Source organism: Homo sapiens, chromosome 11 (assembly GCF_000001405.40).
Source record: "Homo sapiens chromosome 11, GRCh38.p14 Primary Assembly".
Taxonomy (NCBI): domain Eukaryota; kingdom Metazoa; phylum Chordata; class Mammalia; order Primates; family Hominidae; genus Homo; species Homo sapiens.
In genome coordinates, this window is record NC_000011.10 from 79,138,614 (window position 1) to 79,164,960 (window position 26,347).

Consider the following 26,347-nt stretch of genomic DNA (forward strand, 5'->3'; position numbering starts at 1 on the left):
ATACATAAAACATATATTATATTTATATAAATACATAAAACATATATTATATTTATATAAATACATAAAACATACATTATATTTATATAAATACATAAAACATACATTATATTTATATAAATACATAAAACATACATTATATTTATATAAATACATAAAACATACATTATATTTATATAAATACATAAAACATACATATTTATATAAATATACAAAACATACATTATATTTATATAAATATACAAAATATACCTTATATTTATATAAATATATAAAATATATATTATATTTCTATAAATATATATTACATTTCCATAAATATATAAAATATATATTATATTTCCATAAATATATAAAATATATATTATATTTCTATAAATATATAAAATATATATTATATTTCTATAAATATATATTATATTTCTATAAATATATAAAATATATATTATATTTCTATAAATATATATTATATTTCTATAAATATATAAAATATATATTATATTTCTATAAATATATATTATATTTCTATAAATATATAAAATATATATTATATTTCTATAAATATATAAAATATATATTATATTTCTATAAATATATAAAATATATATTATATTTCTATAAATATATAAAATATATATTATATTTCTATAAATATATAAAATATATATTATATTTCTATAAATATATAAAATATATATTATATTTCTATAAATATATAAAATATATATTATATTTCTATAAATATATAAAATATATATTATATTTCTATAAATATATAAAATATATATTATATTTCTAGAAATATATAAAATATATATTATATTTCTAGAAATATATAAAATATATATTATATTTCTAGAAATATATAAAATATATATTATATTTCTAGAAATATATAAAATATATATTATATTTCTAGAAATATATAAAATATATATTATATTTATAGAAATATATAAAATATATATTATATTTCTAGAAATATATAAAATATATATTATATTTATATAAGTATATAAAATATATATTATATTTATATAAGTATATAAAATATATATATTTTATATAAGTATATAAAATATATATAATATTTATATAAGTATATAAAATATATATTATATTTATATAAATATATAATATATATTATATTTATATAAATATATAATATATATTATATTTATATAAATATATAATATATATTTTATATTTATATATAATACATAGATTATGTAATATATATGTATTTTCCATTAGTTCTGTCCCTCTAGAGAACGCTGAGTAATACAGATGGCATAAGTGAGTGCTATAATACAAAATTTGAAGATGGAACCAACATTCCTTATGTCCGCTTACATCTTTTATTCTGTCTCCTAGGTGACAGGCATTTCTTGCCTAGATGACTCTCAGGCATGGTCTCTTATTCACTCTGGACACTCCTTGTCAGGGCACAGAGCCCTTCACATCTGCCCCTGCCAATGTCTTCTGGATCGTCTCCCATCTCTCCCTATATGCCTCCTCAACTTCAACTCCCCAGAATCATAGGCAGTTCCGGCGTGCAACATGGCTTCCTTTAGACCAGGTTCCCACCTGCTAGCCAGTCCTCAGCAACCTCTGCTGTGTGGTTTCCCTTTCTTTAATCCTTTGCTCAAGCCTCTTGAGATTTGAAACCTTCTTTGAAGACATACCATCCCCTTCCCTCCGGGCTCCCTACCCCCAAGGTTGGGCTAAATGCCCTTACTTTGATGGTCTGGACTGGTCAGTCCTAAGCCTCACCTATTTACCTGAGTGGGTGGGGATGTGTCCTAAGTAGATATCCCATGTGTTTTGTGCTGTGGGTCATAGTCAAAATAGTCAGCAATCCACTGATCTTATTTACCCTCCTGTTTAAGACGCTTCCAAGTCTTGTGTGAGGCTCAGACTGAGCCTTTAAAATCCCCACATTTCCCTTTTCTGGGCTGCTCTGCCTGGCAGAAACAGGGCTACATCTTGTTCTTGTACTCTGGAAGCCTGGTAGCACTGTTTGACCACCACAGAAGAAGTCTGCTTAATGGACTCACATTTTTGTAATAAAATAAAAGCACCAAGCCAGAATAGAAGCCTTCGTTGTCAGATCTTATTCTCCAAATGTATTTTCTTCACAGTTTTCTAACTTCTAAAACCATCAAACAGCTTTGGCATGACAGTCGTCTTCCACAAATGAAAACAGGATTTAGTGCAGTGGCGTTTCTGCTGCTCTGAGGGAAGCTGATTTAGACAGAAGAGGCAGGAAGGAAGAGGGAGGGGATCTGTGGACCTGGAGCCAGGTCCCTGCAGAGGTAGCTGGGCCTCTGACTCTACCGTCTGTGGGTGGAAAAACAATCTTTCCCCTTGGACCAAAAGTACCAGGTTGCCTCCCTGAGATTAAGGTGCTAGACGGAGCCTATTAATGTGAATATACCATTCAAGGCAGTGAAAACAGGCTTAACACAGAATCATCAGCAGCAGGAGACCTAGAGACTTCTTCCTAGCTCTGTCTTCCTCCTACCTCTGCTCCTAATTCCCTTCTTCTCTGGGCCTCAGATTCCTCACCTGAAAATGGAAGGATTAGATTAAATCAGCGGCTCTTATTTTCTGACTGTGACTCAACATTAAGAAATACATTTGAAGACTAAGAAACAGAGAAGACCCAAATAAAATCAGAGATGAAAAAGGAGACATTACAACTGACACTGCATAAATTCAAAGGAACATTAGAGACTACTATGAGCAACTGTATGCCAATAAATTGGAAAACCTAGAAGAAGTGGATAAATTCCTAGACATACACATCCTACAAATATTAAACCATGAAGAAATCCAAAACCTGAACAGACTAATGACAAGTAATGAGACTGAAGCCATAATAAAAAGTCTCTCAGCAAAGAAAAGCCTGGGACCTGATGGCTTCACTGCTGAATTTCACCAAATATTTTAAAAAGAACTAATACCAATCCTACTCAAACTATCCTGAAAAATAGAGGAGGAGGAATACTTCCAAACTCATTCTACAAGGCCAATATTACCCTGATACCCAAGCCAGACAAAGATGCATCAAACAAATAAACAAAACCAAACAAACAAAACTAGGCCAATATGATTGATGAACATCAATGGAACAAAACACTAGAAAACTGAATTCAACAACTCATTAAAAAGATCACTCATCATAACCAAGTGGAATTTATTCCCAGATGCAAGGATGGTTCAACATACAAAAATCAATCAATGTGATATATCATATTAATAGAATGAAGAATGAAAATCATATAATCATTTCAATTGATGCTGAAAAGGCATTTGACAAAATTCTTTTATGATAAAAATTCTAAAAAACTTGGTATAGAAAGAACATACCTCAACACAATAAAAGCCATATGTAACAGATTCACAGCTGGAATCATATTGAGTGGGGAAAAACTAAAAGCCTTTCCTCTAAGATGTGGAACGTAACAATGATGCCCACTCTTGCCACTGTTATTTAACATAGTACTGGAGCTAGAGCAATCAGACAAGAGAAAGAAATAAAGGGCATCCAAATTGGAAAGGAAGAAGTCAAATTATCCTTGTTTGCAGATGATGTGACCTTACATTTGGAAAAAGCTAAAGACTCCATCAAAAAATTTTTAGAACTGATAAACAAATTCAGTAAAGTTGCAGGGTACAAAATCAATGTAAAAATATCAGTAGGATTTCTATATGCCAACAGCAAACAATCAGAAAAAAAAATTAAGAATGTAATCCCATTTATAACAGCTATAAATAAAGTTGTTAAATACCTAGGAATAAAATTTACCAAAGAAATAAAAGATCTCTACAATGAAAACTGTAAAACATTGACAAGAAATTGAAGAGGACACCAAAAAATAGAAAGATATTTCTTGTTTATGGATTGGAAGAATCAATATTGTTAAAATACTCATGCTACCAAAAGGAATCCACAGATTGAATGCAATTCCTATTAAAATACCAAAGACATTCTTCACAGCAATAGAAAAAACAATCCTAAATTTTAGATGGAGCCACAAAAGACCTGGAATAGGCAAAGCTATCCAAAGCAAAAAGAACACATCTAGAGGAATCACATTACCTGACTTCAAATTATACTACAGAGCTATAGTAACCAAAACAGCATGGTACTGGTATAAAAACAGACACATAGACCAATGGAACAGAATAGAGAACTCAGAAACAAATCTGCATACCTACAGTGAACTCATTTACAACAAAGGTACCAAGAACACACACTGGGGAAAGGACACTCTCTTCAGTAAATGGTGCTGGGACATGAAAAAAATGCTCATCATCACTGGCCATCAGAGAAATGCAAATCAAAACCACAATGAGATACCATCTCACACCAGTTAGAATGGTGATCATTAAAAAGTCAGGAAACAACATGTGCTGGAGAGGATGTGGAGAAATAGGAACACTTTTACGCTGTTGGTGGGAGTGTAAACTAGTTCAACCATTGTGGAAGACAGTGCGGTGATTCCTCAAGGATCTAGAACTAGAAATACCATTTGACCCAGCGATCCCATTACTGGCTATATACCCAAAGGATTATAAATCATGCTACTATAAAGACACATGCACACGTATGTTTATTGTGGCACTATTCACAATAGCAAAGACTTGGAACCAACCCAAATGCCCATCAATGATAGACTGGATTAAGAAAATGTGGCACATATACACCATGGAATACTATGCAGCCATAAAAAATGATGAGTTCATGTCCTTTGTAGGGACATGGATGAAGCTGGAAACCATCATTCTGAGCAAACTATCGCAAGGACAGAAAACCAAACACTGCATGTTCTCACTCATAGGTCGGAATTTAACAATGAGAACACTTGGACATAGGGTGGGGAACATCACACAATGGAGCCTGTTGTGGGGTGGAGGGAGTGGGGAGGGATAGCATTAGGATAAATAACCTAATGTAAATGACGAGCTAATGGGTGCAGCACAGCAACATGGCACATGTATACATATGTAACAAACCTGCATGTTGTGCACATGTATCCTAGAACTTAAAGTATAATAAAAATAAATAAATAAAATAAAAAATAAAAATAAATAAATAAATGGTGCTGGGAAAACAAGGTATCCATATGCAGAAGAATGAAACTAGATCCCTACCTCTCACCATGTAAAAACATCAATCAAAGTGGATTAATGACTTAAATGTAAGACCTGAAACTAGGAAACTACTAAAAGAAAACATTAGAGAAACTCTCCAGGACACTGGACTAGGCAAAGATTTTCCAAGTAAAACTCACAAGCACAGACAACCAAAGGAAAAATAGATAAATTGGATCACATCAAGTTGAAAAGCCTCTGCACAGCAAAGAAAAACAATATCAACAAAGTAAAGAGACAACCCACAGAATGGGAGAAAATGTTTACCAACTATTCATCTGACGACGCATTAATAATCAGAATATATAAGGACCTAAGGCAACTCGGCAGGAAAAAAATATAATAATTTGATTAAAAAGTAAACAAAAGATCTGAATAGAAGAATGTCAAAAGAAGACATACGGATGGCAAACAGGTAGATGAAAAAGTGCTCAACATCATTGATTATCAGAGAAAAGCAAATCAAAACTACATGAGACATCATTTCATCCCATTTAAAATGGCTTTTATCCAAAAAGCAGGCAATAATGAATGCTGGCGAGGAGGTGGAGAAAAGGGAGTGAAAATTAGTACAACCGCTATGGAGAACAGTTTGGAGGTTCCTCAAAAAACTAAAAATAAAACTACCATATGATCTGGCAATTCTATTACTAGGTACATACCCCAAAGAAAGGAAATCAGTATATTGAAGAGATATCTGCACTTCCATGTGTATCGTGGCACTACTTACAATAGGCAAAATTTGGAAGCAGTCTAAGTGTCCATCAACAGATGAATGGATAAAGAAAATATGGAACATATTCACAATGGAGTAATATTCAGCCATAAAAAATAAAGAGATCCTGTCATTTGCAACAACATGGATGGAACTGGAGGATATTATGTTAAGCAAAATAAGCCAGGCACAGAAAGACAAACTTTGCATGTTCTCACTCATCTGTGGGAACTAAAAATTAAAACAATTGAACTCATGGAGATAAAGAATGTAAGGATGATTACCAGAGGTTGGGAAGGGTAGTGAGCATGGGGAAGTGGGGATGGCTAATGGGTACAAAAAATATAGTTAGAATAAATAAAATTTAGTATTTGATAGCATAACAGGTTGATTACAGTCAACAATAATTTATTGTACATTTAAAAATAACAAACTGTATAATTTCAATATTTATAACACAAATAAATGATAAATGCTTGAGGTGATGGATACCCCATTTAACCTGATATGATCAGCATGCATTGTATGCCTGTATCAAAATATCTCACGTGCCCCATAAATATATATACCTACTATGAACCCATAAAAACTAAAAATTAAAAAAAATTTAAAAAAGAAATACATTTCATACCTCAACTTGGTCTATACACACATATTTAGAGGGACATGTAACTGAAGTTTCACTTAATGATGTTTGTCCTTATGACCTGCTATATTTTCTCCTCTGTTATGCTCATTTTATAAACTTTTATTGAAGTATGACTTAAGTACAGTAGAGGGTACATATCATAAATGAATAGATTGATGCATTTCTACAAATTGACAACACCCATTTAACCTGCCCTCCTACCTCTGAATTAAAAGGCAGAATGTGACTAGAGAGCCCCTTTGCACTCCTTCCCATTTACCAACTCCTCCCTCGGGGGCAACCACCATCCAGACTTCTGAAAACACAGAGTAGTTTTACCTGGCTTTGTACTTTTTTAAAGTGCAGTCATAAAGTTTCTTTGTGCCTGCTTCTTTCTTTCACCTTCATGCTTCTGAGGTTCATCAATATTGCTATGTGCAATATTCCACTATGTGAATATGCTACCCTTGATCCATTCCAGGGCTGATGGCCATGTGTTTTGGTGGATATCTGTGTACATATCTCAGGGGTATATTCCAAGGAGTGAAAGTGCTGGTATGTATATGTTCAGCTTTAGCTGATATTGCCAAACAGTTTTCCAGTGTCATCAAACCAATTACATTTCAGCTAACAGTGTGTAAGTTTCGGTTGTTTCACATCTTTGCCAACACTAGATAGAGTCTATATTTTTTATTTCAGCCATTCTGATGAGTACATAGTAGTATTTCATTATGGTTTTAATTTGTCATTCCCTGAAGAGTAAAAATGTTATGTGCTTTTTTGGCTATTTGGACATCTTCTTTTATGAAGTATCTGAGTCTTTTGCCCATTTTTCTATTAGGCTGTCTGTCTTTTCTTACTGATTTATAGGAGTTTCTTCTTTTTTTTCTACCATATATATTTGGATATGAGACCTTTGTTGAGTATATGGAGTGCAAATATACAACATCTTTACCCACTCTGTGGGTTACTAGGTTACTCTGTTTTTACTTTAATAAATGCTGATCTTGAGCCACCAAATTAATTTCATGACCTGTTACTGGACTACAACCCACAATTTGAAGCACCCTGTGATACACAATTATGCAGTCTTTCCTGGGTCAGAATAGCCCAGAAAGGGGCATTTCTAGCCTGTGGCATCCACACCAACATTGGCCTGGATCAACACCTCTGTATCTACTGTGAGCCACTGTCTGGAGAACAAGGATGTTAGCTATATTTAATTTCCAAATTTAAAGAAAATACTTTGTCCTATACCTTGAGTGATACCAGTTTCCAATTCTTCTGAATTTAATAATTGCCAGCCCCATGGCCCAGACTGAGGGAAGAGACTCAGAAGGATGGCCAAGGTGTGGAAACACCTCTGAAATTAGCCCTTTCAACAGGTACTAGAGGGTACGTTTTCCTACACAGTCTCTCTAGCCACCGAGGTACCTAGGTCTTCAGGGGCATGGTCTTATGGAACCAAAGATACCTTCAGAGGTTCCTTTTATCTAACGAGTTAACACAACATTCCCTAAACTCTGAGAAAAACAAACAGAAAAAAGCCACTAACCAAGGGAGAAAGACTCTCCCATATCCTAAGCACTTTCTTGGTGTGAGAGATACATCCTATGCTGCATCCTCCCAGCTCCTGAGAGCAGCCCTATCCACAGACTTTCAGCTCCAGGAAGGCGAAAACTGTACCACTCTTATCAAATAATGTGACCAAGGCCACATAACTTGTAAGTTATAGAGCTAGGCTGACTGACACCATAGCCTGTGTTTTCATTCCTCTGTTATACTCCTTAGAGGCAGCCAGTCACTGGATAAAGAGTGGTGACTACCTCCAAAGGGTCAAAGATTCACACACATATGCACAAACACACACGTGTGCATGCACACACATGCATAGACGTGTGTATACAGATATGTACATGCATGCATACGTATATGCTATTTCACTCAGAAATCAGTGGGGCTGGACTCTACAGGTTCATTACACAGTCAGCTCATCTGAGTTCCCCCCTTTCTTCTGATTTGCAAAGTATTGATACAGTCCATAATACATGAATCACACAAAGGCACATATATTTGTAGGAAACTTTACAGTTTACAAAACACTCAATCTCTCATCCAACACTCACCACCAGCCTTCTGAACATATATAAATATTTGATGATTTGCAGGCCTCCCAGTCTGTGTGTTTAAGGACCTTCATTCTGGGGGGCTCTAATCCTTACCATCTAGGACCGGGGCTATGGCATCAGTGAGAGATTGGCAGGATTTGTGCAGCTTCTCGGACCCACTCTAAAATTTCCCTTTTAACTGTATATTTCCATAGCAACCCATCATCCTTGTCTGACTCTGAGAAGTAGAGTTTTAACCTCATGAATTTTCTGAGGTTGGGCTTATGTTTGCATGAGAGTTTATGAGATGTGAACACTACTGTATCCCTAATGAGTATGCCCGTTCTTTTCTCTCCTTATGAGAGTCTCTAGCACCTCCTATCTTCTCCTCTGGCTAAAGGTAAGTAGTTCTGCCATTACTTATAATCATACTAGCAACTGCCATGTTTTGAACACTTTCTATGTACCAGGTACTAGGTGCTTTATGTACATTATCTCAGTACATCCTCACGCAACCCTTTGCAACATTTATTGGCATCCTCATTTAACAAATGAGGAAACAGATGATCAGAGATGAGAAATGGCAGTCTATGGCCACATAGTCAGCAAGTGATAGGGCTTGGATTGGACCCAGATTCCATGGATTCCCAAGACCTGGCCCATTCCAGTGCCTGAGATGGTAAGAAGCAGCAACTTCTTTACTCTGAGTCAGCAAAACGATCCAAGTGGAGGTCAGAGGCATGGTAGTGACTATCTCTTCCTACCTTCCTTGTTTTCACCAAGCTCAGAATGATGAAGTGACTTTCCTGAAAACACAACAAGAGTAGAACTGGGGCTGAACCCAGGCCTGCTCTTTGGGTTTACCCTGCTTTGATTCTCATCCATATACTGGGCAAAGATCACTGGAGGTGCTCTGTCTGTATTCCAAGTGACCAGGGTGGGAGCTGCTCTTGAAACCAACTTATGAGAAATGATTGGAGGAACAAATAACAAGAAAAGATCTTGAGGAGGGACATGCTGTTTACATTCACCTATTTTAGGATGTCTAGTAGAGAAGAAAGAGACTTGGCAAGACGTGGAGTGAATTTCAAGTCCAGATTATGGGAGAGCTCTACAAAAATCCTAAGTGTGGGGAGATACCAACCTCCAAACCAGTCCCTGCAAGTTTCCAAGAACAGGCCAGGGATCTATAGAGATGCTGTTGTGGGTTTCCCAGCATCCAGGAGGGAATGGTCCGTACCTCTAAAACCCTTTTATCTCTAAGATTCCACAAGCCTTTGAAACATATAAAAATCTTGCAGGGAAGGCAAGCAGTAATCCTGCACTCTTTGTTCATTGTTCTTAGGGAAAAAAAAATCTTTATTGTAAAATAAATGAAGATAAAGTCTACCTATTAATGCATATTTAAGAGGTAGAGAAAAAAAGAACCCATAACATTAACTTAAATCATGAATACTCTCTGAAGTGTAAAAAAAATCAACTCACTTTTCTTTAAATCTTCTTAAAAGGGTCTAAGAATAGTCCTTCAAATAATCCTTGAAGTATGCAATTTTAATTTGGACACATGGTAATTTCAGTCTACCTGTTGAAAGAGACAAGAGACAAATCAGTCATTTTTGATGAGGATGCTGTTCTGATAAGCAGTAGAGAAGATTCTGGCAGCTTGGGAGGTGGGGGTGAGACGTGGGCATGGGCATTAGTAGCAGCAGTATGAGCTTTGGTCCCAAGCTGAAGTCTAGTGTTTGAACGCTCAGAGGAAAGATGCAACTAAAGTAGCTACTAGCACAGTGCCTGGCACATGGCAAATGCTCATTAAGTAGTTGATGGACAAGTAAAAGGATGGCTGAGAAAATGAGTGGGATTTATCATCAAGCTTTCATGCAGGGAGTTACTTTGTAGCCTCATCTCTTCAACTCTTAGGGAGAGAGAATCTCCAGGTACTGGGCATATAATGGAAAGCAGCACAGAGAAAGGTACCAGTGGAGTAAAGAGAGTGAGGGATTTGAGCCAGCCATAGCTATGCCCAAATCCTGGCCCCACCACTTCTGACTGCACAACTCTGGGCTGGTTTATTTACTTATATTTGCTGTTGTTCCTAAATTGGATACTTAACCCATTCATTAATTTTCAGCTCTTCTTTTTTAATATAAGCATTTAAGGTGATAAATTTCTCTCTAAGTGCTGTCTTGGCTATATTCCACAACTTTTGATATTTAATATTTCTTTGGTCATTCATTTATAATCATTTTATAATTTCTGTTATCATTTCTTTTTGATCTGAGAGTTAGTTGGAAGTATTTTTATAAATATATCTCAATATAGGTTTTTAAAAAACATCTCATCTTTCTGTTACTGAGTTCTAACTTAATTGCACTGTGGTAGGTGAATATGGTCTGTAGGATACTGACTCCTTGAAATTTACTGGATTGTATTTTACGGCCTAGGATACAGTCCACTTTCGTGAGTGTTTTATATGTGCTTAGAAAGAGTGTGCATTCTCTGGCTGTCGGGTTGATCTTGGGCTGGCTTTCTTTAAATGTTTCTGCATCTCCATTTCCTCACCTGTAATAAGGTATGTGAGCAATACACATTAGTTCCCTCACACCATTTAAAATTATACTCACTGACAAAGACACAGTGCACAAGGAAAGATCAAGGTATGCTCTTTTTTCTTTATAACAGTATCACTAACAATGCCCTACACTGATAAAGTACTTAAAAGTTTCTAAACAATGACCACGTCTGTTATTTGGTCTTAAACCTGTATAATGTCACCTAGGCAGGTAGAGGTGGGAACCCACAAAGAAAAAGGACACACACCAGTTGGTGCAGTGATTTATTCAGTCCTCAATGCCAGAACCCCAGGATCCCTCTGACTCGCCTCTGCCCCTCACTCCTCACTCCTGCTCGGTTCAGCCTTCTTATCATCTTTCAAATCCATCCTTGTTATGACCTACAATGCCTCCATCATTTCTTACCTGCTTGGTTCTCACAGATCATTAAATTCCTACTGTTTTAAAAATACAGCACAGAAAGTAAATCCTGACAAAATCCTCCTGGCAGATGTGGCTCTCAAATAAGCCTGGTGTTAGGTCTTGGGTGCCAGAACATCAGTCTTGCAGGGGAGAGTGATGTTTATGTCTATCAAAGCAGGCATGAGTTTAGAAAGGTCAAAAAACACTGTGTTGAGTTCAAATTTCTTCATCTAGCAAACAGCCCTTCCCATGACCTTGTCCCCTGTCCTGCCCCCAAGTTCCTTTTCTCCTTTTCAGAGAGATTTCCTGAAAGAGTCATCTAGACCACCACTTCCTCCACTCCCACACTCTTCACAAATCGTTGCCTTGTGGCTTTCAGCCTCTTTCTTTAAGATCATAGGGATGTTGTCACTGCATATTCCAGACACTTCTTCTCAATCTGCAGTGGCCTCTCTGGGTCATTTGCTAGCAGGGACCCCTTCCCTCTAGAAATTCCTGCCTCCATATCAGCAACACCAGTTTCTCCTGGTTCTTCTTTCCCCCCAAGGACTTTCTCTGACTCCTTCACAAATTCTGTGGTTTGAATGGGCATTTTCATAATTTAATTAGAAGTGTTTTTTTATAAAATAATAACCATAAACTACACTTTATTAAGGGCATACCAATCACTGTGCTAAACATTATTTTATTCTACTTAATCTTCACAATAACCACACGAGGTAGACATTATTAATATTCCTATTTTACAGATGAGAAAATAGAAGCTTGGAAAAGTGACCTAATTTGCCCAGGATCACTCAGCTACTATGTGGCAGAACAGGGATTCAAACCGCAGTCCATCCAATCATAGCCTGTGCTCTCAGCCACTACATTAACTCATCCTGCCTTCCTATACCATGGCTTCTGTGACTCACCATTCTTCCACGATGTCATGGATTTCATGCTCTCATTTTGCTTCCCTCTGAAGGGAAGGCCTTTATCCATACTGTGTGCTGAGAAAATTCTGTTTATTGTTTAAAGCTCAGCTCTTCCCACAAAGCTATTAGCGAGCCAAACCAGTTTCACTGCTTCCATCTCTTTGCTGTGGCAGCTCTACAATGATATGAAACCATCCATTCATCCATCTGACCATGCATCCATCTCTCCACCCAAGAATTACACAAGTATAGTAGAAGATTGCTTATCTAGAAGTCTAAACACAAGAAGCATCCAGACAAAGGAATTGTTCCAAAGGATTTTTTATGTTGACTCTTTGAAAAAATAATCATACTATGGTCAAAATTGAAGAAAACTTGCTAGAAGTTGTGGTGTTTGGGGAAGAGATGTGCTCTGTGTGTCATGTGTTAATGACTGGTCAAGGACAGTCATCCATGGGACCTGGCCGGGGCGCTTTCCGAGGTTACTAAACTAGATCTGTCCAATTTCCCTTACCCAATCCCCACATTTTAAAATCATATTTACATATCATCCCTGGCTCAAATACCTCATTATCCCTGAAGTCTTCCCTGATTCTCCTCCCCCAACAGGCACAGATGAACCTAGACACTCCCCCTACCCCTCACAATGTATCTCTCTGTGTTCTCTCTGCTGGCACTTGGTATTTAATCATTTGTAGATAATAGTGCATTTCAAAAAGCACTTCAACATTTTCATTGCATGCTTTATCTCCACCTCCTGTCTCCTTGGAGGTAAGAGATGCATCTAATTTACCCTAGATATTTTCAGAACCAACCCCAGTGGCTGGCACACAGATGTCAATGAGTGACTGATTGATTAAAATTAGATGACATTGTCCTTGAATGGAGAAGGCCATCCAAATATCACTCAAATGCAAGCACCAAGCAGTGTATTATGCAAAGAGTACGTGCTAAATAAACATAAAATCCTTCCATCCTCTCTCCACTCCTCAAAATTGAGGACTAGAAAAGAAACGCAATGTGTCCATTGAGCCTGAGGTTTCTGAAGATCTGTGTTCCATGGTTCACAAATATTAATATGTTGGTGTGGTGGCTTTTGATATTCTCCATGATCAACCAGGAACTGAAAACCCATGTTTGGCTACATTCTACTTTGCTTAGTCAGAAAATGAGAGTTAGAGCTTTGAAGATAGACAAGACCTTCAAAGTGAACGGCTACAACCACTTTCTTTTACAGAGGAGAACCGGAGAGGTTCATCGTCTCCAGGTCATAGGCCAAGAAAGGTTGTGCAGATGCATTTTCCCTGTTCCCTCCTAGACTTGCAAATGAAGCCTCTAGGAAACTGAGTGCTTTCTGGATGGCTAAAAATAAACTCCCAGAAACTTCATCTAGATATATCATGGCTGTAATTTACAGCGTCTAGAACTTTAGCATGGTATAATTAGCAAATGGATTACAACAATTTATTTTTGGTTTAAAAGCTCGAATGAACACAACCTTCCAGTGGAACGGGAAAACAAGGGGCTGGGAGCCAGCTGCATTCCTCCAACCCCTTCCAATGCCACAGTGTTTGTGCTGGCTGGCAGCCCTCTACTGATGTCCAATGGATATGCAAAGAGAAGGAACTGCAATTCTGAGCTCTGGGCTCCCTGAAGCATGACTTCCTGGACATAGCCTCCCAAAATGGTCAATGTTCATCCTTTTAGTGAGCAGGAAGATGTCCAAACTCACCTTTTCAATGCACAGGAAAACCCAACGGCATTCATCAAGAGGACAGAAGAGCTGCCAACCTTAAACTGATGCAGAAGAAAGGTATACACTGAACAAAACATACCAAAGACTAATTACATGGATGTTTGTTCTTCTAAAGATTCTGGGCACATTTTTAGAATGGCTTTCCATCACTTGCCTTACTGCGGGGAAAGTTTGTTGTGATGTCTCTGAATAGGCAGTACTAAAGGATGATACCAAGATAGACACTTGTCACGAAGCTAGAAGATGACTAGACTGGGGTCAGAGAGGACCTGTGCTCAGGTTTTGGTTTGTTATGTGTGCCATGAATAACAACCAATTCAAAACCCTTTTATAAAATGTCAGTAATGAGTAACTACCTCACAAGATTGTTATGGGGATTAAATGAGAAAAATGTATGAAAAGGATTTTGTAAATGAATATTAGATGATTCTTCTTGTGTGAATACATGTCCAAAGCAGATCATTCTGATGAGGACTTTTTCTGACCAAAGCACTGTAGAACATTGCAGCAAGGGCCAGGGGCAGAGCAGCAGAAATCCTGGGAAATTTTCTTCTCATGTTTCCTTGCACGGTGTCTGGGCAGAGGCAAGTCACCCAGCAGAACAATCAGAGCTAGGAAAGATGGATCCCGACTTGGGTAAGGAGCACAAGACAACCTGTCTCCCTTCTCTCACACCCCTACCAAAACCAAGTATCTGCCCAAACACCCCTTAACCTAGAAGGTGGCATGATGGTGGCCAGGCAGTGTGGGAAACCGAAGCAGTGGTTCTTGCGGCTGAAAGAAGGGGAAGGGTAGTTTTCTGAGCATCTGCCATGTACGAGGCACAGTGCTGGGTCCTTTCACACTGGGGCTCTTCTCCAAACCATGCAAGGTTCCCCTGACACCATGTTATACCATTGCTCATGCTGTGTGTGGGTCTACGAGGCCCCCTTTCTTCTCTCTGATTCTTCAACCAGCCCCTGAGCAGGAAGACTTAGACCCTCATCCTCTCACTCGTTCAATTCTTAGTGATCTTAGGTAAGGTAAGTCATCCATTTTGGAAGGACTTCAGTTTTCTGATCTGTCAGGTTAGGACAAGAACCCCAAACTCACTGCCTTACCAGATTGCTTTCAGACTCAAAAACACTGGGTGTGAAAAGTTTTAAAAACAGTGCAAAAACCTGAAGGCTTATGTCACCCCTTGTTCAAGCTCCTCAAGAGCTTCCTCTTGCTGCTTGTGCTAGTTGGCTTTTGTGTTGCTATAAAGGAATACCTGATGTTGGGTAATTAAAAAAAAAGAGGTTTAATTGGCTCATGGTTCTGCAGGCTGTACAGGAAGCATAGTGTTGGCATCTGCTTCTGGTGAGGGCCTCAGGAAGCTTCCAATCATCGGGGAAGGAGAAAGGGAGCCAGCACATCACATGGCAAGAGAGGGAGTGAGAGAGAGAGAGGAGGTGCCATGTTCTTCTAAACAACCAGATCTCACATAAACTCATAGAGTGAGAACTCACTCATTACCATGAAGAGAGCACCAAACCATTCATGACAGATCTGTCCCCATGTCCCAAACACCTCCCACTAGGCCCACCTCCAACACTGGAGGTCACATTTCAACATGAGATTTGGAGGGAACAAAACATCCAAACCATACCACTCTTAAATAAACATTACATGTCTACTTTGTCCCCTGACCCCCTGCTGATGTTATGTTCCCATCAGGGCCCCTTGTTCCCCCAGCTCCATCCAAACCAGGCATCTTTCAGGTAATTATGCTCAAGGAGTAAGTGCCGTCCCCAAGGCTGGGAGTCCCCTCTTCCCCTTCAGCTCTCAGCTTAGCCTTACTCACTTGCAGGAGAGCTCCTTGGCCCCTCAGAGGAAGGAGTTTCCTCTACTCTACATTCTCAGAGCCCTTGTGATCACACTTACCAGAGTGATGATCTGATTAATGCCTATCTCCCCAGCTAGAATATAAGCCCTCTGAAGCAGGCCCACCTGTATGTTGTCCACCGGGGTGTCCTCAGGGGGCCAAGCATGCAGTAGACCCTTACCTATTTTGTTCACTGCTCTGGACCAGGGCAGGGCACATAGTAGGTACTCAAAAAATACTTGTTGAATGAGTGCATTTCCATGCAGTTCAAATCTGAAGCTGGGTCAGCTCGACCCTCCCTTCTCTGCTCTCCACAAGCTCTCCCTTCCTTTCCCCTGCACTCAGGGCCCTTTCCTGTACTGTTTGCTACCAGGACCTCACCATTATCCAAGTGAGTAGCTTGTCTCCCCTGAGACCACAACAGCCCCAAGGAAGGCCTAGAGAGGCAAACCCTAGCGGGACCCAGAAGAGGGACAGATCCGGAGTATCTGGGCCAATGGAGGTGGGGCACACAGTAGGGGCTCCTGTGGAACCCACATTTGACCTACTCTGAACTTCTGCTTCACAACCTGTTTCTAGGGCAAAGCTTCCAGCCTTGAGCTTTTGCTTCATGGGCTAAAATATGTCTCTCTCTCTCTTTTTTTTTTTTTTGGCTTGAAATAAATGGTTAGCCATTATGATGTAAAATGCAGCTGTCACAGTCCATAGAACAACAGACAGGTTAATATGGGTTTTTAAGAATGCCATTTCCTCATATTAACCCCAGAGCAACGTCAACCTATCAAGATAGACTCCAGAGTGCTCCGGAAACCTGCTGTTTTTGTTCTTTAATAATATTTGATGTTTAAATAATAGTTGATGTTTGTTTCCAAGTAGTTTAATGGTCCGCCTTTCCCTCCCTCCCTCCCTCCCTTCCATCCTTCCTTCCCTCCCTCCCTTCCTTTTTACCTTCCTTCTTTCCCTCCCTCTCCCCCTCCCCTCCTTTCCTCCTTTCCTCCCTCCCTCCCTCCGTCCCTTCCTTCTCTTCCTTCTCTTCCTCCCTGCCTCCTTTCTCTTCTTCCTCATTCCCACTCTAAGAGTATCCTGGCCTAGGCTTTCTCCCTGAGATCTGGGATATAAACATGAAGATGTGTATCTGGGTCATGTCTGGAATTCTGAAGCCTCCTGACTGGGTTCCTTGACCCTCATTTCTTCCTTTTATCCCCCCACCCTTCCCACCTGCCAGCCATCCCATCCTTCCTACATGTTGTCTACTATAGAACTAATTTAACTTCAAAAATATTTAAACTTTAAATAAAGTGTTTAAGTTATTCCCTAAGAGAGGTGAGCTTCAGTTACATAGAAAATGTCAACGGTTAGGACTGGCCTCTCCCAGCAGAAGTGAAGGCACACTGTGTTCTCCTGCCTAGAGGGAAGACTGGGTGGTGTTAAAGGTATCCAGGAAACTCCAGAGGGACAGGTCTGGGCTTGCACTGTGGCTCCGGCCACTTGGCAGCCTGAGGAAGTGACTGTAGAGTCTGTCCTGCACAGACCATTGTAGCTCCTGCCCAAGTTGGCAGCCCAGCACCAATCAATAAGTCCTGCATGGAAGAGTGATGTGCGAGGTGCTTGTCAGCATGGATAGATTGATTCCTCTCTGGTCCCTGTTCACGTTGTGTGTAACGCATACCCCACCAGGGAGTCTTGGAGGGAAGAGGTGAAGGGCGAGATTCTGGCATCACCAGAAATTACTTGTAGATCCTGAAATGGGCAAGGCTTTCTCAGGCCTCCAGCACTTTCTACATGCTGTTTCCTTAGTCTCAGTCACCCTCATCTTTCCCTGAGTAACTCCTTGTCCTTGAAGACTCAGTGGAAGGTTACCTCCTCCTGAAAGCCTTCCTCACCCTCTGTCTAGATCAGAGGTCCATCCTGAGCTTCCAGCACCCTCCTTTTCTTTCTCCCCTGCTGGTGCAATTGTCCCCTTTGTGCAATGCTCTGCTTATTTGACTGTCTCCGATAAATGTCTCCTGTGAATGCCTACCAGTCTAAGGTGCTCTGGGACAAAGAAAAAATAATCAATACACTAATTAATCTATGTATTTACTCTCTGCCTTGCTCCAAAAATAATTTAAGGAAGCACAAGGATCAAATATGCCCCCAAGTAACTTTGAGTCTGGTGAGACAGCAGACAACATAAGCATTTTAAAAATATATGACAAAGGCTGACAATGTGATCAAGTTGAGGGGTTGGGCAGGAGTGGGGACCCTCTCTCTGATCTCCTGCAGGACCAAGCATGACACACAAGGATGCTCAGTGAATGTTTGCGGAATGAGTGAGATGGGTTGAGAAGGAGGACCTGAAGGGGACTTGGAGATCACTTATTTCAAGGGAGGAAATTGTAGTCAGAGAGGAGATGGGACAGTGCAGGAGCTCCCCAGTTAGTAGCAGTGCAGGACACAGAGCCCAGGACTATACGACATTAGTTGGTCATTCTAAGTCCCATTTATTGGATATGCAATAAGACAAGCCATAACTGAGGCTCTCTCTGAGCCTCAGTTTCTGTCCTGGACACCCAGAGATCCAATACATCTTTGTGAACCTATTCCCTTCATACAGGTCTTTAACACCCTGGGCGGCTGTCCTCAATAATCTGTGCTGCAACGTGGAGTAAATCTCTGACTTCTTTTCCTTCTCTTCTGTTGCTTTCTCTCTTTCTTTCATACCTTCACTCACTTACTCATGCACTCAGCGAATGTGTGCCGAGTCCCTACAGCATGCCTGGCTCTGTGCTCTATGTGCTACAGCTACAGTGGTAAAGAAGACCCAGGTCTTGCCATCTGTAACTCAGTACTCTCCTAGTACTCACCCAGGCAGTTTTCAGAGCTACAGTTTCTTCACTGTGCATTGTCCTTCTATTCCTCCACAATTCTGTTCCTGCTGTGTGTCTGCCTGGAACATCCTATCTACTGATCTCCACACTTCTACTCCTCTTCTAAGGCCTCGTCCACAAGCTGCCTCCTCTGTAAAACCTCCCCTGAGGGTTCCATACCTCCTTGCTTTCTACCATAATCCTACTGTACTGTATTGGTAAATTCTGTCTGTTGGTCCCGCTACTGTGAACTCCAGAAGGCCTTGGACAGTGTATTTTTACCATTGTATCTACAGCAGCAGGGAACCAGCAAATGCTCAGGAAACCTTGGCTGAAGTGGCTGAACTTCCTGACCAGCATGTTCTAACTAGTCTGGGGAGTTCTAACCTCTGGTGAGAGGGCAGAATCGTCCTCATTCCACTACACGTCCTACCTGCAAAGCTAGCACAATTATGCTGTGCAGCTTACCTCTGCTCTCAGAAGTCGATCCCAGCTTGCCCAGGACCCAGGGACCCTCCTCCTGCACTCTGGGCTGCTTGCCCCTGCATCCTTGTGTGTCCCACCTAATCTCTGCTTAGGACTTTCTGCAGATTTGCTGGGGAATGTGCATAATCAAAAGTAAGAAAATCTACTTTTGTAACATTTCCACAAATAAAAAATACTCATAGACACTTAAGCTTTTCTGGCCACACCAGAACATTTTGGTAAATTTCCTTTAGGAAGAAAGAATGATCTCCCCTTGCAAAGTTGTAGTCATACTAGCCAAGGCATAGGAGACTACAGACACAGGCAAGACCCTGCCTTGGAATAAGATGGCTGGGGTTGAGCCTGGCTCTGTCATGATAGCTACAAGGTCTCAACAACTTATTTCTTCTCCCTGAGAAGCCTCCAGGTCCTTACCTGTAAATCAGAGTTAATAGCACAACCCTTGCATTGGTGCAATGAAGATTAAATTAGGAGGTAAGACTCTTGACATATTGACTGTGACACTGTACTCAGTAAGGATTAGTACTCTCATGAAGGAATGGGGAAGGTGAGTAGAATGAGAAGAATATCATTTCTCATTGTAGTTTATACTTCTGAAATTGATTCTACACACACTGTCACATTTACGCCTCAATCAACATGTGATATATGCATGATATTATCCTTTTCTTATAGAGAAGGTATCTGAGGCTTAGGGATGTTGAATAATTTGCACAGGATCATACAGGCAGGAGAGATGGATTCACCAATTCTCTGACTCTAAATCTGGAGTTTCAATGGCCACCAGCCACTGAGGAAGCTGCTAGCATGGGTCTACAGCTGGAGAAGTACTCCTCCTCAGACCATCACCTCTATTGGACCAGGATCACAAGCCCCAAATAACCCTAGTATATGGTAGACATGGTCAGTGCTCACTGAAAAGCCCCTGTTCTTCGCAGCCAATATCCACTTTCCTTATAGAGAGGTTGAAGTGAGTGGCATGGAGATGTGTAATTTCCAGGCCAAGAAACAATGAGCCCCTCTGTACTGTTCCTCTTCTGTGGTGGTGACCCTCAAAGCCATGATTTCCAGAATGCAGAGCTATAAGAGGGGGGCTCTACATGGCCCTCATCTGTGATATGAGCAGGAAACGCATCTTTGTTGAGTCAACATCGCTGGGTTTGGGGGTTCTTTGCTGTTATATCTTATCTTAGTCTACCCGGACTGCTGTGTCTAGGTTCAAACTATCGATTGATCACCAAATAAACACCACAGGGAATAACAGTTGGCATGTAGTATCTGATTTAATCTTACCCTACGCACTAGGTAGCATCACCCTTATTTTGCGAATACAGAAACTGAAATCTAAGGATTAAATTTAAAAATGAAATAAAAAGAATAAATTGCCCAAGATAACATGGCTAGCCTGTTTTCAAATGTCTTGTTTTCAAGCTTTTTGTCATTCCTTTTGTCCTTAGTTTTCGCATCTGTAAAAAGGGGGATGGGGCTGGACCAGATGCTTTTAACATTTATCCCACCTCTCATAATTATAATTACATGACTCTTCCAGCTTTGCCCGCCCTCCTGGCCTCCTAATGTGTGGCTGACCCAGATGTTGAGCCTCTAGGTAGATAGAGCTCCAGTCCTGCCCTACAACCCCAGTCTTGCTGCCGATCGCATCTGTCCAGAAAAGAAGAGTGATTTGACTACTGGTTCACTCACTCGTTCACTCAATCAATTATTCTATTATTTATTCATTTCTACTTAATACTGACTCAGTCATTCATTTACAGATGCCTTCCACTTCCTCTTCCACCACCTGCTGGCCAAAGCTCATATTCAGTTCCCCCAATTTTCACTCATTTATTTCCTCAAAATCACACTTGTTCACTCATTCACTTGTTAGCTTCTTCATTTATTTTCTTGTTGATTTATTTATTCACGAATTCATTTTTTACTTATTTATTTCTTCATTTATTCATTCATTAAGTAAATCATTCATTTACCATTTTCATTCTTTCTATCCTTCATTCACTCCCTTCTCCATGCACTCACTCACTCATTCCCTACTCTCCTTCCTCCCTATTCCCCAGTGCAGCATCCTCCCAGGAAGCAGAGCCTCCATCATGGCTGGGGCCATTAGTCCTCCCTCCCAGAACACTCTCTTCCATTTTAACATCCTGCTTGTTGATCTGTGCAGGCATATCTCCTGGTGTGCAGGGGATATGCTTTCCACTCAGAAACTGATGTTCTTGTAATTACTGTTTTGACTTTCACCCTCTAATGATAGAAAATTCTTTCCACAAACTCCTCTAGTATCCAGGAAGGCAACCGTGCAGAATGGGCAAGGCATGCAGTGCCTGGGGGTTCAGATTCCAGAACACAGGGTATTCCTGGCAGTCAGAGCTCGGGGGACTTGGGGAGAGCCTCTCTTCTCCAGGACTTTGCAACCTGGGGTGCAGGGCTGAGATGGAGATGGGGGCATCTCGGAGAGCAGCAGACTTGGGGAGCCAGGTAAAGGAGTGTGAAGAAAAAGCGGCCCATCTCAAGACTGTGGAGTCATAATCTGTCTGTACTTGGGTTACTACAGTGACAGGTGCCAGGGTCAGGGGTGAATATAGAGGCTTATCAGCATGTCACCAGTGAGAATAAGTTGTCAGCAATATCATGGCAGAAGATCAACATTACAATTTACTGACCTCTTACCCTGTATCAGGTATTTCTCATACTTTATTCTAGTTGTCCCTCAATGATCAATCTCCCCATCTTTCATTTAGAAATTTAATCCTTTGAGTTTTAGCTGGTTCCATGACCTCTCAGCCAAAGACTAGATTTCCCGGATTCCCTTGCAGTGAGGCATGACTGTCTAAGTTTGGGCCAATGGGTGTGAGCAGAGGTGTTATGTGCAACTTTTTGCTTGCAGTTTTAGAAAAAAGCCGGTTGCCTTCCACTTCCTCTTCCACCACCTACTGGCTAAAGCATGGCCCTTTTTAGTGAGCCATCTTTGTCTCTGGGGTTAAGGGCATCTTGAACAGCATGTTAGAAAAAGATAAAAGAAGCCCTGAAGAACCTTGTGAAGTAGAACATCTCTATCCCCCTGGCTGAGATTTTATGTGCAAGAGAAACAAGCTTCTTTTATGCTTTGGCCACCACTGTTCTGATCTCTGTTAAAGCAGCCACGCCAGTGTCTACTAATCCCAGGAGGAAACCTCTTTGCCCACATTACGTCTTCTTGAGGATAAACTTCCCTTATGGGAACACTCTTGCCTTACCTTATTCCATTACTAATTTCTCCTTTTCATGGTTGAAACGTGTGCCTTCAAAATTCATGTCCACTGAAAATCTCTGAATGTAATCTTATTTGGAAACATGGTTTTGCAGATGTAATTAAAAGATTGATATAAGACCACACTGGATTAGGGTGGGCTCTAAATCCAACGAGGGGCTCCTTACCAGACAGAAAGGACACACAAAGACACAGAGGGGAAGGCCATGTGAAGTGGGGGTGGAGACTGCAGTGATGTGTGTCCCCAGGCCAAGGAGTGCTGTGGAGTGCTGACAGCCGCCATAGCTAGGAGAGGAGCATGGAGTGGATTCTCTCAGAGCCTCCAGAAGGAGCCACTTCGCCAATACCTGGACTGCAGACTTTTAGCCTGTCCAACTGTGATAGCATATGTTTCTGTTGTTTTAAGTCAGCAACAACTTGTTCTCTGTGAAAGGAGTTCAACCTTTATCTTGTGGTCAGTGGGGACCCATTGAAGGGTTTGCAGTAGAGAAGAGATGATAACAAGAATGGCTAACATGGGTTGAGTACTAACTCTGCACCAGAAAATGACCCAAGTGCGCACTTAGACATACCACCTCAGCTAATCCACAGCACAACATGGACACAGGTACTATCATTACCCCCAGTTACAAATTAGCAAGTTTGTGGTAATCTGAGTGACAATGATTGGGTTGGTGGGTGTGGGAGAAGGAACCGGACCTGCCTCACCCAGTACCCCCTGTATGGCCTATGAAGTGGCCTATGGAAAGCACAGCTCTTCTCCTCTCCTTGACGGGATGGCCAAGTCTGTCTAACTATAGGTCGAAGTGTTAGCAAGACCCTGTGTGCAGATCTAAAGCTGCCCTGTGGGCTTTCCATGGTAATTGGTGGAGGGCAGTGGTCAAGATCATGGCCTTGGAAGCCAGACCACCTGGCATTAAATCCTAGTCTTCCAGTTACTAGTTCTGTGATATGGGAAAAATTAATTAAACTTTCAGTGCCTTGGTTTCTTCATCCATCAAATGGGGCTAAGAATAGTACCTACCTTATAGAAATGTTGTATTAGTTAACATCATAAAGGGCTTAGAACAGAGTTTGACAAATAGGAAATACTAAATAAGTATTAATGCTTAACTAGTGGTCATGATGCTATAAAGTATTTGCTGTTATTATTTATTTATTTATTTATTTATTATTATTGTTATCTGTCTGACTCCTCTATGTCTTAATTAATTTTGATTTTAGGCCAGGAAGATAAGTATTATTTTCTAGCTCCACCGGAATCCCAAAACTTATTTAATTTTCTTTAGCCTGATTTTGCAGATGAGGAAACTAGGTCTGAGAGAGATGAAATGGCAAGCTCTGGACAGCCTTCGAGTCCTCCTCCACATTCCCTGGCTGCCCAGTCACCCATCTGGTCTAGTTGTTGGGTTTGCGGGCTCACCCCTCCCTGGCACCAGGTGGCAGGTCCTGGAAGGTCTCCCTCCTGGCTCCCAGGCAGTGTGCAGGAGCCCATTGGGAACTCCCTGGGCCAGCTGTTCATCTGCTGCACAGCATGCTGAGCCATGCAGCCTGGTCAAGTGGACATGGGCCCATATGAGGATCCATAGTCCCTGTTCATACAAGGCTGGCTGACTCTTCAGCTCTGAGGGAGCTATTTCTGCAGGCCCAAGGTGCGCTGCAGGGAAAGCAGGTTGCACATACATGCATAAACATGGTCCTTCTGCCTAAAAGGTCCCTAGACCTTGTCCCTGAGTGAAGGCAGCATGTTTAATGTAGAGAACCAGCCTGCTTACCAGACACCTGACCCCACATACCAGTTCATTGGGAGGACAGAATTTCCCTCTGCCCAATGGCACAGACGATCTGAGAGGACAGGGGTGAGAGGGAGAGTGAGAGAAGGAAAGGGGAAGGGACATTTGTTGAGCATTTACTGCAGGCCAGGCACTATGCTAGTTGCTTCACGTTTGTATGAATATAACAATTGTTATATTCATAAAAATCCTATGCTGTAAACTCATTTTAACAGGTGTGGAAACTGAAGCCCAACAAGCTGAAAACACTTGTACAAGCCACATAGCCAAGAAACACTGGAGGCCTGCCGAACTTTTTTTTTAATAGTTTTTTTGGGGGAACAGGTGGTTCTTGGTTAGATGAATAAGTTTTTTAACGGAGATTTTGGTGCACCCATCACCCGAGCAGTGCACCCTATACCCAATGTGTAGTCTTTTATTCCTCACACCCCTCCTACCCTTTCCCCTGAGTCCCCAAAGTCCATTGTACCATTCTTATGCCTTTGCGCCCTCATAGCTTAGCTCCCATTATGAGTGAGAACATATGATGTCTGGTTTTCCATTCCTGAGTTACTTCACTTAGAATAATGGTCTCTAACTCCATCCAGGTTGCTGCAAATAGCATTATTTCATTTCTTTTTATGTCTGAGTAATACTCCATGGTATGTGTATATATATACACACACATACATATATATATACACACACATATATATACACATATATATACATGTATGTGTACATATATATTATATATACATATATACACACATATATACACATATATGTACATATATTATATATGGATATATATCGTATATAGGTATATATCCATATATATCATATATATCTATATAGTACTATATATCTATATATCTATATATAGTGTATATATAGTGTATATATAGTATAGTATATAGTATATATATAGTATGTATATAGTATATATACACTATAAATACTATGTATATATAGTGTATATATACACTATATATACTATGTATATATAGTATATATACACTATATATACTATGTATATATAGTATATATGTATATATACAGTATATATAGTGTATATATGGCATACTATAGTGTATATATATACTATATATAGTGTATAGTATATAGTATACTATACTATATACAGTATATATAGTATATATAGTATATAGATATACTAGTATATATAGTATATAGATATACTAGTATATATAGTATATAGATATACTAGTATATATAGTATATAGATATACTATATAGATACTATATATACTATATATAATATATAGTGTATATACTATATAGATATACTAGAATATATATAGTATGTAGTATATAGATATATATGTACTATATAGTATATATAGTATATATATAGTGTATATATATAGTGTATACATATAGTGTATATATATACACTATACATACTATATATATACTATATAGTACTATATATATCTATATACTATATATACTATATACTATATATATACATATATATATCTATATAGTACGGTTTGGCTGTGTCCCCACCCAAATCTCAACTTGACTTGTATCTCCCAGAATTCCCGTGTGTTATGGGAGGGACACAGGGGGAGGTATTTGAATCATGGGGGCTGATCTTTCCCATGCTATTCTCATGATAGTCAAAAAGTCTCACAAGATCTGATGGGTTTATCAGGGGTTTCTGTTTTTGCTTCATCATTTTCTCTTGCTGCCACCAGGTAAGAAGTGCCTTTCACCTCGTGCCATGATTCTGAGGCCTCCCTAGCCATGTGGAACGGTAAGTCCAAGTAAACTCTTTTTGTTCCCAGTCTTGGGTATGACTTTATCAGCAACATGAAAATGGACTAATACTATATATATATGT

General features: G+C 39.8%; 1 protein-coding gene across 5 annotated transcripts in view; it reads right to left on the minus strand.

Moving 5' to 3' along the window:
* TENM4 (teneurin transmembrane protein 4) overlaps window positions 1-26,347 on the minus strand; it is a 788,202-nt gene that overhangs the window by 485,785 nt on the left and 276,070 nt on the right. Inside the window, exon 4 of one of the 5 annotated variants that reach the window (NM_001098816.3) lies at window positions 10,097-10,193. The exons of the other annotated variants lie outside the window; for them this stretch is intronic. The gene's annotated coding sequence lies outside the window, so the exon portion shown is untranslated. The remainder of the gene's footprint in view (window positions 1-10,096; window positions 10,194-26,347) is intronic. 5 annotated transcript variants of the gene reach the window in all.